At 44.1% G+C, this 15921-nt stretch overlaps 1 protein-coding gene across 8 annotated transcripts in view; it reads left to right on the forward strand.

Moving 5' to 3' along the window:
* PDZD2 (PDZ domain containing 2) overlaps positions 1–15921 on the forward strand; it is a 471802-nt gene that overhangs the window by 339732 nt on the left and 116149 nt on the right. For 6 of the 8 annotated variants that reach the window (XM_005248269.5, NM_178140.4, XM_011513992.3 and 3 more), the window contains one exon: positions 4293–4794. In XM_005248269.5, coding sequence (XP_005248326.1) covers positions 4293–4794 — 502 coding nt within the window. Of the gene's footprint in view, positions 1–4292; positions 4795–15921 lie in introns of those variants that run through there. The other 2 variants (XM_006714460.3, XM_047416965.1) reach the window with 1 other exon arrangement.

The raw sequence follows: 15921 nt of genomic DNA on the forward strand, positions 1-15921 counted from the left end.
TACAGTTTCTTTAAGGTGACAGGGTCTTATTTATTGCCAGGAAGCTGGAGAGGACAGGGAGATGGTGCTGAACTCAAGATAAACTCCTCTTGGCTTTGTCATTTTGCCAAGAATGGACCCTGCAGAAGAAGTAAAATACTGTCTCAGTCACAGGCACCTTCCAAGTTTCTTGGAACTTCCATGAGAGTACAGGGGAGAAAGATATCTAAGTTCTTATACTCTGAATCAATAGGCCAGACTTTTTGGTACTGAAAAGGTCTCTGCATACCACTCATCGTGTTGTTTAGAGATTTAACGTATTTAATAAAAAGTAGATTCCCAAAAAGCAATTTTAAATGAATTTTGTCTCCGAGCTAAATCTTTTTCAGGATGATCGTAAATGTTTCAGAGGCCTAAGACAACTTGGAGATAAAATGAATATTTCTGGCCAAGAGTGGTAGCTCACGCCTGTAATCCCAGCACTTTGGGAGCCTGAGGTGGGTGGATCACCTGAGGTCAGGAGTTCCAGACCAGCCTGTCCACCATGGACAACATGGTGAAACCCCATCTCTACTAAGATACAAAAAAATTAGCCGGGCATGGTGGTGGGCACCTGTAATTCTAGCTACTCGGGAGGGTGAGGCAGGAGAACCCCTTGAACCCAGGAGCTGGAGGTTGCAGTGAGCTGAGATTGTGCCACTGCACTCCAGCCTGGGCAACAGAGTGAGACTCTGTCTCAAAAAAAAAAAAAAAAAATCATTTTTTCCAGGTTTATGTTTTGTGCTGTGCACCAGATCAATACTGTTGGGATGACTTGCTCCTCTTATCCCCAGAATTCTTCCTGGGAAACTAGTGTTCACAATTATTAGAATGTGAAAACAAATGAGATGATCCATTTTAACACCCTCACTTTACAGATGAGGAAACTAAAGTGCAGGGTTGACCGTGACTTAAAAAGAATTGCACAGTGGGCAGAGCATAGGCTTTGGAATCAGGCAGGTTTGGATCTGCTGCTCAGTAGTGATGTGAACTTGGGCAAGCTGATTGATATTTCCAAGCTGCAGTTTCATCTTCTGTTAAGACCGTTCTTAGGTAAATAGTGTCTATGAGGCACCTACTCAAAGAATGAACTCAAAATTTGCCCATAATAATACTGTATTCACTAGGAACACAAAATTTGCCCAATAATACTATGTTCACTGTTTTTTAAAAACCGAGACATATTCACATAACAGAAAATTCACCATTTTAAAGTGTACATTTCAGTGAGTTTTAGTGCTGGGTTGGGCAACCGTCACCACTAATTCCAGAACATTTCCTTCACCCCCACAAAACCCTGGATCTATTAGCAGTGAGTCCCAATTCCCCTCTCCCCCAGCTCCTGGCAAGCACTAATCTTTCTGTCTCTATGGATTTGCCTGTTCTGGACATGTCATATAATGGAATCATGTAGCTTTTTGTGGTCTGACTTCTTTCACTTTGCATAATGTTTCCAGGTTTCACCCATGTTGTAGCATATAATTTATTCCTTTTTTACTGACAAAGAATATTCCATTATATGGATATATCAACAGTTGTTTATCTGTTCATCAGTTGATGGAATGGAAGACCCAGCTGTCAGGTGTGATGGAAAACTGTTGCCATTGTTTTAATGTTAGGTCAAAGCCAGAATGAGGACTTGGGCATCCCACTCTCAATCTAGTCTTGTGTTTATGCCCTGCACTGATTTGTTGACATCTGAGCACATGTATTTAAATAGTAGTGCTTTTCTGAAAGAAAATCTTACAACCTGGCTACCTACTTTTAGGATTTTATACCTCTCCAAGGATTTTTCCAGTATGGAAAAAATGTTTACAATGCAAAGAAATGAAATCTATACGTTATAGAAAAATTGTGCTGAGAGACAGGTTCAATTTTTATTTTTGAGACTAGTGGATGGTGTTTGTTTGTTTGTTTGTTTGAGATGGAGTCTTGCTCTGTCGCCCAGGCTGGAGTGCAGTGGCGCGATCTCAGCTCACTGCAACCTCTGCCTTTCGGGTTCAAGCGATTCTCGTGCCTCAATTTTCTGAGTAGCTGAGACTACAGCCGCGCACCACCATGCCTGTGGTTAACTTTTGTATTTTTAGTAGAGACGAGGTTTCACCATGTTGGCCAGGCTGTTCTGGAACTCCTGACCTCAGGTTATCCTCCTGCCTCGGCCTCCCAAAATGCAAGGATTACAGGCATGAGCCACCGCACCTGGCCTAGTGGATGGTCTTAATGCCTCTTTGTCCCTCTGTATTTTGCACGGTGACCTGGCGTCTGTACAGTATCTTTTATCTGCCTGTTTTTGTACATGTAAGTTTACTACCATGGTTTCTAGCCTGGGATCAAAGAAGGTTTGGTTGATGTTTGAGTCATGAGTACCCCCCACCTTTTTTGTTGTTGTTGTTCACTTTATTCTATGGCAAAAATTCAGAATTATTCTCTCCTTTAATTAGACAGTCACTGTCATTCCATTAACGTGACCATTAGGTATGGGGAATATATGCCTTTGGGCCAGAATTTAGTGCATTTCAAGCACATCTGGTCACCTCTCCTTCCCGCTCCCTTGCCTGCTACCTAAGTGAAAGCTCACTATGAGATGAGAGGAGGACTTTGATGATCTGGCCTCCTTCCAATGTAATGTAATGACTGCCCCAGCTCTCAGGTCTGATTTCCCTGCTGACAAGATCCCAGAAGGCATGTTAATGTCTGTTTACCTGCAGTCATCATTTCTTCAGAGGCAGCATTGCATGTAGCCCCAGGCTTTTGCTGCGTGAGCATAAGAAGTCCAGAAGCAGATCTGATTTGTGAAGGATTTGGTTGTTGACACTTTTGCTTGGGAACGAGTGATGTGTAGAATGTGGCAAGATTCCAGTGGAGAAGGCGTTGTCCTGGGTTCATCAGGGATTTGTGCTGCTTTATCTTAGGTAGCATGAGTGGAGGGTCCAGCCCAGCCTGGTTTCCTGACTTTGCACAAGGGTTTTCTTTGCCCAAGCTTTGATGATCCGGTCCCGAATACCCCTAATTACTCATTTCATTTGATGTTGTATTTTCTTATCGTTCTTTAAGATCTGGAGCAGTTATCATGTCATGCTTCACATACCTTATCTCCTTTGTATTACTTCCTGCTTCTAAATACCTGCCAGCCCTCACATATATGAAAAAGCGACTGACCCTGACCCCTCTCCATGCTGAGCGTCCTTTATTCCTCCGACTGTTCCTGGTTGACACAGTCTCCAACAGCCTTTTGTCCTGGTCCTTCTTTGTCTATGTGTTTTCCACATTGTCAGTGATCCTCCTAATGTGATGTCCAGACTGGAAATGACACTCCATGTGTGCTGTGATCAGCCTAAACTGGGACTGTTACCAAGGCGTGAGCCTGATCCTCATTCAACACAGTGTACTGTTGCCACCAGTGCCTACTTAGCCAGTTGCCTGTTTGTTTTGTTTTGTGTTTTTGGAGACAGGGTCTCACTCTGTCACCCAGGCTGGAATGCAGTGGCGTGATCTCGGTTCACTGCAGCCTCTGTCTCCCAGGCCCAAGTGATCCTCCCACCTCAGCCTCCCGAGTAGCTGGGATTACAGGCAGGGACCACCACACCGGACTAATTTTTGTATTTTTAATAGAGACGGGGTTTCGCTATGTTACCCAAGCTGGTCTCAAACCCCTGGACTCAAGTGGTCTGCCCACTTGGCCTCCCAAAGCGCTGGATTACAGGTGTGAGCCACTGCACCCAGCCATCAGTTGGCTTTTAATACCAGTCATTACCTGTTACCCCTACTCAGTGAGGCATAGGCTCCCATTGTTGTGCTGTTGATTATTTGCTCCTAAGAGCAGAACTTTATACTTCCCCTAATCCACTCTATCCATTCTTTACCCTGGGGACTCATAGTTTTATTCCATTGGAACTATATGGATGGGAGCCTAGCATAATTCCGATGCAAGAAATGGTTGGAGTGAAGAAGAATTTTATTTTTTAATGATATGTTAGCATTGGCTCTGTTCCTAGAAAAATCCTTCTCCAACTCCTGATCCTACGGTACTTAAATTAGTCATTTCTAGTTCATGGGGTTTTGTGTTTGTTTTGGGAGTTTGGGGGTAATTGTTTGTATCAATTATTACATAGATGAAAAGAATGAATTGGGTGTTGAATCTCTTTAGGAAGCTCAATACCTCAGTCCATCGGCCAACTGGTCGTCACTTGGGTGGACCCTTGAACGCGTCTGTCTGCTGTGCTGTCTAGGAAGGGTGTGTGGGGTTCTAACTGGCACCTCTCTGTCTGTTGCAGTTACCTGGCTGAGCAGTGCTGGAATGGCGGCTTTATCTACCTGATCATGCTGCGTCGCTTTAAGCACAAAGCCCACTCCACTTATAATGGCAACAGTAGCAACAGCTCTGAACCAGGAGAAACACCTACCTTGGAGCTGGGTGACCGAACTGCGAAAAAGGGGAAACGAACCAGAAAGTTTGGGGTCATCTCCAGGCCTCCTGCCAACAAGGCCCCTGAAGAATCCAAGGGCAGCGCTGGCTGTGAGGTGTCCAGTGACCCCAGCACTGAGCTGGAGAACGGCCCTGACCCTGAACTTGGAAACGGCCATGTCTTTCAGCTAGAAAATGGCCCAGATTCTCTCAAGGAGGTGGCTGGACCCCATCTAGAGAGGTCAGAAGTGGACAGAGGGACAGAGCATAGAATTCCAAAGACAGATGCTCCTCTGACCACAAGCAATGACAAACGCCGCTTCTCAAAAGGTGGGAAGACGGACTTCCAATCGAGTGACTGCCTGGCACGGGTAAGGTTTGGTTTGATTATGGAACCAGAATTTTATTTATCGTGTGTGTTTGTTTGTTTTTGCAGCCCAGCCCATGCGGGAAATACAAGCTGGGCTCAGAACCAGAATTTTGAAAGAAATATTGTTTGAAGTTGCTTTTAAGGTTTAAAAAATATACCTAAGATGACCTCGCATTGAGAAGCCAACAAATGCATTAAGAAAAGTGATCAGAGGAGAATGACAAAAAAGCTCCAGTCATTTTATCCTACTTAAATAAAGAGCTAGTCAAGTGATCCTAAGTGGAAAACTCAAGCCTTCTGTGTTAAAATTTGAGTCATGTGAGGTCCAGATAAAGTACTTCACTGCATCGTTATTTATCGCTGCTGTCACCAGTGGAATCGCTGCTGCAAGGCCAAGAATTCCTGATGGCAGCTGACACCACAAACATCTAAGCCTCAGTATTACACAGGAAGGGTATTCAATACACAGGGAAGCATCTGCTTTTATTTTTAGCAGTTCAAAATTAGTGATGTTTTCATGGGATCACGTTATTACATTGCTGAGTTCTAGGGAAGTTTGGAAGCTTGACAACAATCTCTGATACTATGAAATCCAGCTGTGAGGGTCAAAGTTGGTTACCACACCTGCTTTGCCTTTAGGTGTATTCTGAATGATAAGGGGTAAGCTTCTAGCCTCAAATGGTCTCCCTCATTATAACCAACATTCTGTCCTATGAGAATTGCATTTCTTTAGGGTAGACATGTTCATTCCAAGAATCTTCTTAGATATTCCTGCAGGCTCCATTTGAAACGATAAACTGCCTACGTGGATGCTGACTGGTTTCTTCTCTGACTCAGGAGATGCCCCTTAGGGATGAAAGAGAAAGTTATAAAGATCAAAATGGGCGTAGGAGTATCAAGTTGAGGCCAGGCGCGGCAGCTTGTGACTGTAGTCCCAGCAGCTTGTGACTGTAGTCCCAGCATCTTGGGAGGCTAAGGATGGTAGATCACTTGAGCTCAGGAGTGTGAGACCAACCTGGGCAACATGGTGGAACCCTGTCTCTACCAAAAATACAAAAAATTAGCTGGGGGCCTGAGTGAGAGGATCGCTTGAGTCTGGGAGGTGGAGGTTACAGTGAGCCAAGATTCTACCACTGCTCTTCATCCTGGGTGACAGAGCAATACCCTGTCTCAAAACAAGAAAAGAAGTATCAAGTTGAGTTTTGTCTGCTGAGAAATGGTGCCCTGGGGGTAAGTGTGATTTCTGCCATTATAGCCAAATGTACAATGGGTTGAAAAGAATTACAATAGCCCCTCTCTCAAGAGATTATGTTCCTTCATTTGAGGAGCTGGGTGATCTTCATAAAGTTGGACACAGAGAAGGCATTATTTGTAAATAGAATGTATGAATAAGAAAAAAGTTGATGTCTCCATCAATGATTTGCTACTAATTTTATAAGTTCCCCCAAAAAGGATTAAGGACAAAAAAAAAAAAGATTATAATATACACCTCTTCCAAATTAAGGGCAGTGAAAATATTATAATGTGTTTCTTATCAGTGCATACCCTATCTTGATAGGATTTCTTCCCTAATGATTAGATTGTGCATACACAGAAAGCCTAATGTGAACAAAATAAGGTTGTGGGTATTGGCTCCCTTAATCATTTGAAGGTTTAAGGCACCAGGAGAAGGTTGAATCTCACATATAGTCCCAAGAATAGGCCTTCATTTGACCTAGGACACAGTGGAAATAATTTGGAATGATTTTAAAACAAAGGGCCAGGTGCAGGGGCTCAGGCCTGTAATCCCAGCACTGTGGGAGGCCCAGGCAAGTAGATAACTTAATGCCAGGAGTTCAAGACCAGCCTGGCCAACATAGCAAAACCAAAAATACTAAAAATACAAAACTTAGGTGGGCATGGTTGCACATGCCTGTAATCCTAGCTACTCAGGAGGCTGAGGCACAAGAATCACTTGAACCTGGCAGGTGGAGGTTGCCGTGAGCCAGGAATCGCACCACCACCCTTCATCCTGGTCAACAGAGTGAGACTGTCTCAAAAACAAACAAAAGCTAAACTTTTAAGAGATTACTCATCCTCTGCTTACCTTAATTAAACGTAATAATACTATTAATAATAAATTTAATTAAAATTGAACTTCTGGCCGGGCGCAGTGGCTCACGCCTGTAATCCCAGCACTTTGGGAGGCCAAGGTGGGTGGATCACCTGAGGTCAGGAGTTCGAGACCAGCCTCAACATGGAGAAACCCCGTCTCTACTAAAAATACAAAACTAGCCGGGCATGGTGGTGCATGCCTGTAATCCCAGCTACTCGGGAGGCTGAGGTAGGAGAATTGCTTGAACCTGGGAGGCGGAGGTTGCGGTGAGCCAAGATCGCGCCATTGCACTCCAGCTTGGGCAACAAGAGCGAAACTCTTGTCTCAAAAAAAAAAAAAAAAAAAAAATTGAACTTCTGGAGTCGCTATTTGAAGACTACACATATCACAGTTCCTTTGCGTTGTTTTTATGCTCAAGGTCAAACATCCTATGAGGTGTAAATGAAAGAGTGAAAACAACCAAACTGATCCATTGCCTTTAGGGCATTTTTTTTAAAAAGCCGCATGCCTATAGAAAGGGGAGACTTGCCATCTGGAATTTGCATTCTTTGTAACTGTTTATAATTCATATTCTGATTTTTGGCCCCGGGTCATACTTTTTGTCTTGGTAAATCAGAATGGACCACACATTTTCTCAGCCTCGAATATTTTAGCACCCTTTTCAACCATAAAATTATCTTTATTAGGTGCATTTGCCCAGGATTGATAGGGTTGGCAAAAAGTAGATTTTCACAGCTTTCCCCCACATTCTGATGGCACCAAAATTGGAACCAATAGACCTTCATACAAGATTGTTTAAGTTCTTGGGATTTTTATTTTTAGTCCAGGACAGAGATCAAGGTCTTGCTAAAATGGAATTTCGAGAAAAACAGAAAATGCCTATTTACCTCTTAAGCCTTTGCGGGGGGCGGGGGGGAATTTCATTCCATTTGAATAATGGGAGATTAAACATGTCAGTATTTTTCCATTTCTGTCTTTATAATGATTTAATATAGCTGCAAAAACTTAATAAATGACAAAAGAGCTCATAATCATTCAGAACATTTTTGTTTGTCAGGTACTTCTTTTTCATAGACTGTTACTTGTTCTAAGACAATGTTACATTAAAATAAACCCTCAGTCTTTCCTTTTCCATCCAGTTCCCTCTTAACAGAGCAACAGGAAATATATTTTCTTTAAACAAATTTTTCTTTTTAAAAAATGGTATTTTCTATAAAACATTAACTCACAATAATACATATATAAGCAGATGACTATTTAAAAAGACAAAGTTGGGTTTGTCCTCTAAAACAATCTCCTAGGACATAGACAAACTATTTTAGGCATGAGTTCAAAGTTCCTCATTATCTTCTTAGCAAAGATCTTTACTACTCTGAGAGTTTTTGCGAGTCTGCTTATATAGAATGTAATGTATTTTTGTAATGCTACATGTTGAAAATGAATACAACCAAATGTAGTCACATAGCAAAAAAAGAACCCTACCACTTGCCAAGCAGACAAGTTTATTCATGACTGGCATGGGTATGTCTATGGGTACATTTGTGGTCTTTCCCTAGGAATCGTAATCTACCCTGTACACTACCAGACCCTTTTCCTATGCCTCCTCTGTAAGTGGTTCAGCAGAGACCTCATGCAGGCTTCCTGGATCTGCATCTGCAGAAACGAGTAGAAAACTCAGAAGGAGCATCACACTCAGAACATCTCCCTGATGAGCCCTCACGTTTGCATCAGAGGCAGCCTGAGGATGGTCCTTTTCCAGGAAGCCCCCTTGGTCACTGGGTGAACTCACATTGTCCTACATGGTAACATCTCCCAAGTCTGTGTCTGAGCCCTCAGCTCTCTCCTGAGCCCCTGAGTTTTGTGCCAACTGCCTGCAGGATGTCTCCATCTTGGATATATTTCACATCATGCCTAAAACTCAGCACATCATTTTCCCATACCGCTGAACCCACTCCAGTGCTCCAGGTCTCCCCATCCCCAAAGTTTGCCCAAGCTGGAAGTTTGATGAGATTCATTGGGGGTGACCAACCATCCTGGTTTGTCCAGAACTTCCCCTGGTTTCTCACTGAAAATCCTGGGAAACCCTCCGTCCTAGGGAGAGTGGGACAGCTGGTCATCTTGGAGTCACCTGAAGCACTGCCCACTGCCTTCTGCCATGTCTGGTCAATCACCAAGTCCCCTCAACTGTAGCTCCTTTTGAAATCCTGCAGCTCAACCTGCCTCTCTCTTTACTCCCATAACTTCAGGTCAGGGCTAGGCTGCTTTCATTTTGCCCCCTGGGCTGTCACAGTACTCCCCTACCCGGGACATCGCCCCACTCCTATCCCATTCATCCACTGTCCCAACTGCCACCAGAGGGACCTTTCTAAACAGCACATCTCATTACTCACACACATACACATAGGTGCACAACATACATGTGCATGCACACACACGCACACTGTAGCTGAAACCCGTTTGGTGGGTCCACTTTGCCTTCGTGGTTGTTACCAAACACATTGGGATGTCATTTGAGGCCCTTTATTATCTGATTCCTGGTTAACTGTCTGCCTCCATCTCTCACTGCTTTCTTTTTTTCTTTTTTACCTTTACCAGTTTATTATATAATAAAGAATACAGATGAAGAATTACATAAGGCGAGGTCCAGAGGGTTCCCAGCACAGGAGCTTCTGTCCTTGTGGAGATGGGGGTGGGGGGGGTGCATCACCCTCCTGGCATGTGGATGTATTCACCCTCCTGGCATGTGGATGTATTCACCATCCTGGAAGCTCTCCAAACCTCATACTCTAGGGATTTGTATGAAGGCTTCATCCTGAAGGCATGATCATTTGTTAACTCAAAATCCAGCATTTCTCCCCTGACTCCAGAAGATGGGGGTAGGGCAGAAAGTTGCAAGCTTCTCATGGCCTGTCCTTTCTGGTAACTAACCCCCGTCTGGAAGCTATCCCTGATATCCAGTTTCTTATTCCCTGATTTGGAGTGAATTCACTGCAAGCTTTTTCAAAGACCATACTTAGTGTCACCTCTGAGCCTTTGCGAGTGCTCCGCTCACTACCTGGTTTCTTCTCCCCTCTCCCACGTCGCTTAGCTTCTACCTTTCCTAGGGGACCAAGCCTCAAGACACCCTCCTGTAGGAGGTCTCTGTGACATTCCTGCCGCCTGCTCTGTCATTAGCCATCTCCTCTTCGGTCTCCTGCGGTACCCTCTGCTGGTCTTCATTCATGCCCGAGCCCGACGTATTCCAATTACCATTTGGCTCATCGTGTCCCCAGTAGACTTTAAGAGCAAAGCCTTTGATTTTTTAAAAATGTTTTATATATTTGGGGGATGGAGGTGCAGATTTCTTCAACACATATATTACGTAGTGATGAAGTTCAGGCTTTAACGTGCCCATCACCTGAATAGTGAACATTTTTCTTGATAGATAATTTTTTAGCTCTCACCCTGCTTCCCCGTTTTCCAGTCTCCAGTGTCTGTTATTCCACTCTGCACGGACAGCCATTGTTCACCTCCCACTTATGAGTGAGAACATGGAGTATTTGACTTTGTGTCCTGAGTTATTTCACTGAAGGTAATGGCCTTTGGTTCCATCCATGTTGCTGCAAAAGACATGATTTAATTCTGTTTTATGGCTGAGGAGTATTCTGTGGTATATACCACATTTTCTTTTCTTTTTTTTTTTTTTTTTTTGAGACGAAGTCTCACTCCGTCACCCAGGCTGGAGTGCAGTGGCGCGATCTTGGCTCGCTGCAGCCTCTGCCTCCTGGGTTCAAGCAATTCTCCTGCCTCAGCCTCCCAAATAGCTGGGACTATAGGCACACGCCACCATGTCCAGCTAATTTTTTGTATTTTTAGTAGAGAGGGGGTTTTACCATGTTGGCCAGGCTGGCCTCGAGCTCCTGACCTCTAGTGATCTGCCTGCCTCGGCCTCCCAAAGTGCCGGGATTACAGGCATGAGCCACCACACCTGGCCTGGTGTATACCACATTTTCTTTATCCAGTCAGCCATTGATAGACACTTAGGTTGATTCTGTATCTTTGCTATTGTGAATAGTGCAGGGCGGGGCCTTCTTTGTCTTTGTTTCCCGTCTTAGCTCAGTGCCTTGTAGGTATTTATTAATCAAGGCCCCAAGAATACTAGTCCTGGGAGATGGGACCCTGAAGTTCCTGCCTCAGTTCTGCCATCCCCAGCACTGTGGCCTTCAGGTTGCTGCGGCCTTTCTCTGGCCTTCTGTTTTCTCACCTATAAACTGAGCATTTTGGTCTGATGACTAAGGGACTTCCAGCTCTGACATTATGCTCACCCATTTCTTACTGATCATTCTGAATAAGAAGGGGTAAGCAAACGGTTTCAGAAAAGGTTTGCAACTAGCGCCGGAGTATTTACGGCAGCAAGATTCTGGTTGGATTGTGTCTTCTCACATATGGGGCAAAGTTGCTGTTATAAAGTTTTATTTTTGGTTCCAGCAGTAATGAGGTCATTTAAATGCTGTGAGACAGCTCCCTTTAATGTACCGCTCCTGTTTTGGTAAATAAATCCCTTCGTTGGCTTCAGTGAAGGGATACATGTGTGAACTCACGCAGTAATTGGCAGTTTACAGGAAAGGGTAACACTCCAACAACATTAGTGCAGAAGTCCATAGCATCCAGTTTTTCAGGGTTTGGCTTTTTCTCAATAGGCTGACAAAGTCTTGTTGCCCTTTAAGCTAATGTAAAAGAAAACAAATGCCCAAACCATCTGTCTAGACAGGGTCTGTTGCAGAACTCGGTCTCTCCAACTGGACCAGGGTTCACACAATGAACACTGGCAAACAGACAGATCTCCCATCTGTGTGAGCTTCTTAACCTCAGTCGCAAGGACCATCATGGAACTGTAAGATTAGCGGATAAACATTCTATATTTGTTCATTCAGTGCTATTTATGGGATATTATAATGTGGTAGACACTGTTCTAATTGCTAGAGAACTAGTTGGTAAACAAGACAGACAAGGTTCTTATCTCACAGCATTTATAGCATACCACAAACAATAAATAAGCAAATCCACAAATCACAGTGTCAGAAGCTGATGAGTCAATGAAATAAAACAGGGTGAAGTGAAAGCTGGCCGGGCAGTGTCATGGGCAGGGGGCTGGTTGATGTTGGGTGTCAGAGCAGGAAGATCTCAGTAAAGAGGCGATGTTTGAGCTGAGGATTGAGTGTCAGAAAAGGGCAGCCCTGCATAATCCGGGGCAGAATGTTCCCAGGGAAGAACCAGCAAAGCATCTGCCCTCAGGCAGGAATGACAGAGTGTTCCATGAGAAAGACACTGGGCACCAGGAGATGATTCAGGAGGTGTGGGCAGGGCTGGTTACAGAGGTTCGCATATGCCACCTTGGAGTTTGAACCTTATTCTCGGTCCTGTGGGAAGTTGTTGGAGGGCTTATGCTGAGTGCATCACAGCCTATGTTTTTTAAACCTTCCCCTTGGATGTTTGATGGAGGATAATGGATTGTAGGAGGTGAAATTTAAAAGGGAGACCAAACTGGAGGCTATTGTGGTCACCCAAGCTAAAGATGCTGGTCACTTTGACGGGGGAGGTTAGGGAGAGGAGAAGGCCAAAGTCGGTGGATCTGGCATCTATTTCGGAAGTAGACTCTACAGATGGTGCTCGTGGTTCAGATGTGGGAGATTAAACAGAAGGAATCAAAGATACTTCACGGACTTTTGGCTTGTGGATCATCTTTAGCCTGAGTAGAGGATAATGCTGTTTGCATTGAGATGGGAAAGCCAGGAGTAAGAGAGGAAAAAAGTCCAGTTTTGATTGTACTAAGGTGTATATCAGATACCCAAGTGGAATTGTTAAGGAGGCAGTTGGAAATATCCTTAATATCGTTATATTTAAGTTGGCCTGTTAGATTTTGGCCAGTACAAGTTTTAGCCTAGTAAATATCAGACACTGATTTATTTTTTACTGAACGTTGCTGTAGGCAAATACCTTTAAAACTGACAATTGTGGGCCCGGCACGGTGGCTCACGCCTGTAATCTCAGCACTTTGGGAGGCCGAGGTGGGCAGATCACCAGTGGTCAGGAGTTCAAGACCAGCCTGGCCAATATGGTGAAACCTTGTCTCTGCTAATAATACAAAAATTAGCTGAGTGGATGTGGTGGTGTGCACCTGTAATCCCAGCTACTCGGGAGGCTGAGGCAGGAGAATCACTTGAACCCAGGAGGCAGAGGTTGCAGTGAGCCAAGATTGTGCCATTGCACTTCAGCCTAGGTGACAGAGTGAGACCCTGTCTCGAAAGAAAAAAACAAAACAACAACAAAAAAAACTGCTAACATTTACTTCTTGTTGCTTGTGTCTTCCTTTGTAGTCCTCTGAACTCCCTTCATTAGATGATCAGAAATTCCAAGGTGAGGAAACTTGCATTAATTTCTTTGGACACTCCCCTCCTATCTCCTACTTTCAATTAAAAAAAAATTATGTTATCGGATAAAAGTGAAAAAGAAGGTCTGTTTCTTGAGTAGTGTAGTTGGGGGCTGTATTACAGATTAGTGATTTCTGCCCTCTGAAGCCAGTTTTATTTGTTAAGTGTTTTGCATGACTTTATTTTTAACGAGTTTTGTGGTTTGGGGCTGGGGGCAGGCAAGTGGAGTGGAAATGTGGGTGCTCTTGATGGAAAGTGTCTTGAACTCTTCTGTCAGTATATATATATATACATTTGAGCTGATATTGTATTCCCATGAACATCGTTTTGCATGTTTCTTGTCACATGTCCTACTTCTAAAAGTATTTAAAAATTAGAAAGGAATGTACCTAGTATTGTCACATCCTTTGTTAACCATACTTACATGTTTTGTTTAACAAAGAGGAGGGGAAAAGGAGAAAAGAATGGTGGTGTAAACTAGTAAGGGGGATGGATAGGTTTTTACTAATTTGCGCTAAAACCCAAATAGATTTTCTTATTTCTGGACTCTAAGAATGGTCCTTGTTGCTCTTGGGAAAGAGGTTCACAGCTTTTCTGTCCTGGGGGAGGAAGAAACACTCATCTTCTAGACCCCAGCAGCCAGAGCATATCTTCCACGGAAAAAAACAGCCAGCATCCTTCTCTCAAGTGTGCCTCTTCCATGGAAAAAAAAAAAAAAAGCCACCATCCTACTCTCGCGTGTGCCGTGAGGCCGCCACAGGGCTGCTCCCTATGCTGGCGTGGGAGGCCCAGAAAGCCAGGACAACATCCAGTCAGCACATCCCTGATTCTGTTCTTTTCAATGGTATCCACTAGGCCATCGGGCCCCATTGGAAGTGTTGAAAGTTGCCATCTTGGTGGTTGCACTGCTCCTCAAGGATGGCTTTTTGGAAGTAGTAGAGCCATGAGAGACTTCGAAGGCCAGGGAGGATGTTTCTGAATGGGGAAGGGAAAGGTGTTCCAGAGGTCAGAGGCAGCAAACCAAAAACCATAGAGTCCAAAATGAGGTGATTGGATGAAATAGAGATCATTGACAAGTTCATGAACTACTGTGGTAAGCCAGTGACTTCTGAAGTTACATTTGGCCAGACAGGCTTCATTTGACTGTGGTCAGGGGATGGAGGAGACAGTTGGCACCAGCGTCTGTTCCTGGGATAGCGGAGCCCCACCGAACAGCACGCTACCCGAAGGAGTGTGGGATCCAACAGGTCTCTGTCTGCTAATAATTTCCCCAGACATTCCTATTGCTGCACATCAATGACTGCCCAACATCTGTTTTTTTTACTGTTGCATAAAGTTTCATTTCAGTTTCTGACTGTGTATTTCAGATTTTCTAAATGCCACACATTCTTTCTCCTTTGCAAGCAGCTTGAACAGGCAGGTTGCCTATTTCTAGGGGGATGGTGGCTTTGTCCATGTTGTACCTTAACGGTTCCATTGGACTTTTCATGATGGATGTTAAAAGCAGATGGCTTTTGTTTCATATGTTGTTTCATATATCATATGTCATTTGTTTCATATGAAGATGGCTTTTGTTTCATATGTCTTGTGACTCAGGCCCATATAGCTAGGGCTAAAAAGAGCTACAGGGGTGAGTCTGAAGTGAGACCCCAAAGTAAATCACTTTGGAAAGTTTTGCTTTCATTTCTCTAAATAGCTAAGGACTTGGGGGAAGTCAACAGTTTTGCAGTGAGCATATGTGTGTGTCCTTGGAGTGAAGTAAGGAGACAAGCAGAGGATAAACCAAGGTGGAAAAGCTATCAGCAATCAGATGGCTTAGAGACATTGATTAGTTTATTTATTTATTTATTGTTTTTGTTTTTTTTGTTTGTTGGGGGGATGGAGTCTCACTGTGTCACCCAGGATGGAGCACAGTGGTGTGATCTCGGCTCACTGCAACCTCCACCTTCTGGGTTCAAGCGATTCTCCTGCCTCAGCCTCCTGAGTATCTGGGATTATAGGTGCCCACCACCACGCCTGGCTAATTTTTTTATATTTTTAGTAGAGATGTTGGACAGGCTGGTCTTGAACTCCTGACCTCTGGTGATCCCCCCACCTTGGCCTCCTCAAAGTGCTGGGATTACAGGCATGAGCCACCACGCCCAGCCTGTTTTTTGTTTTTTTTTTAAAGATTTTTATAGGGGTTGAAGCATTTCTTAAATGTATTTAGGGAACGTGCAGCCCAGTGTCTGTGGCAGTGGGTATCAAATTCATCAATTAATTTTTTGTTTTGGTTTCTCTACCAAACGTCTCATTTATATGTTTTAAGGAAGTTTGAGATTCAATTCAATATGGTGTTTTTTGTTTTTTTGGTGATGGAGTCTTGCTTTGTCTGGAGTGCAGTGGCACCATCTTGGCCCACTACAACCTCCACCTCCTAGGTTCAAGTGGTTCTCCTCCCTCAGCCTCCTGAGTAGCTGGGATTACAGGCACTTGCCATGATGCCCAGCTAATTTGTTGTATTTTTTGTAGAGACGGGGTTTCACCATGCTGGCCAGGCTGGTCTCAAACTCCTGACCTCAGGTGATCCACCTGCCTCGGCCTCTCAAAGTGCTGGGATTACAGGCATGAGCCAAAGCACCTG

This window comes from Homo sapiens, chromosome 5 (genome assembly GCF_000001405.40).
Source record: "Homo sapiens chromosome 5, GRCh38.p14 Primary Assembly".
In the NCBI taxonomy this organism is placed as follows: Eukaryota; Metazoa; Chordata; class Mammalia; order Primates; family Hominidae; genus Homo; species Homo sapiens.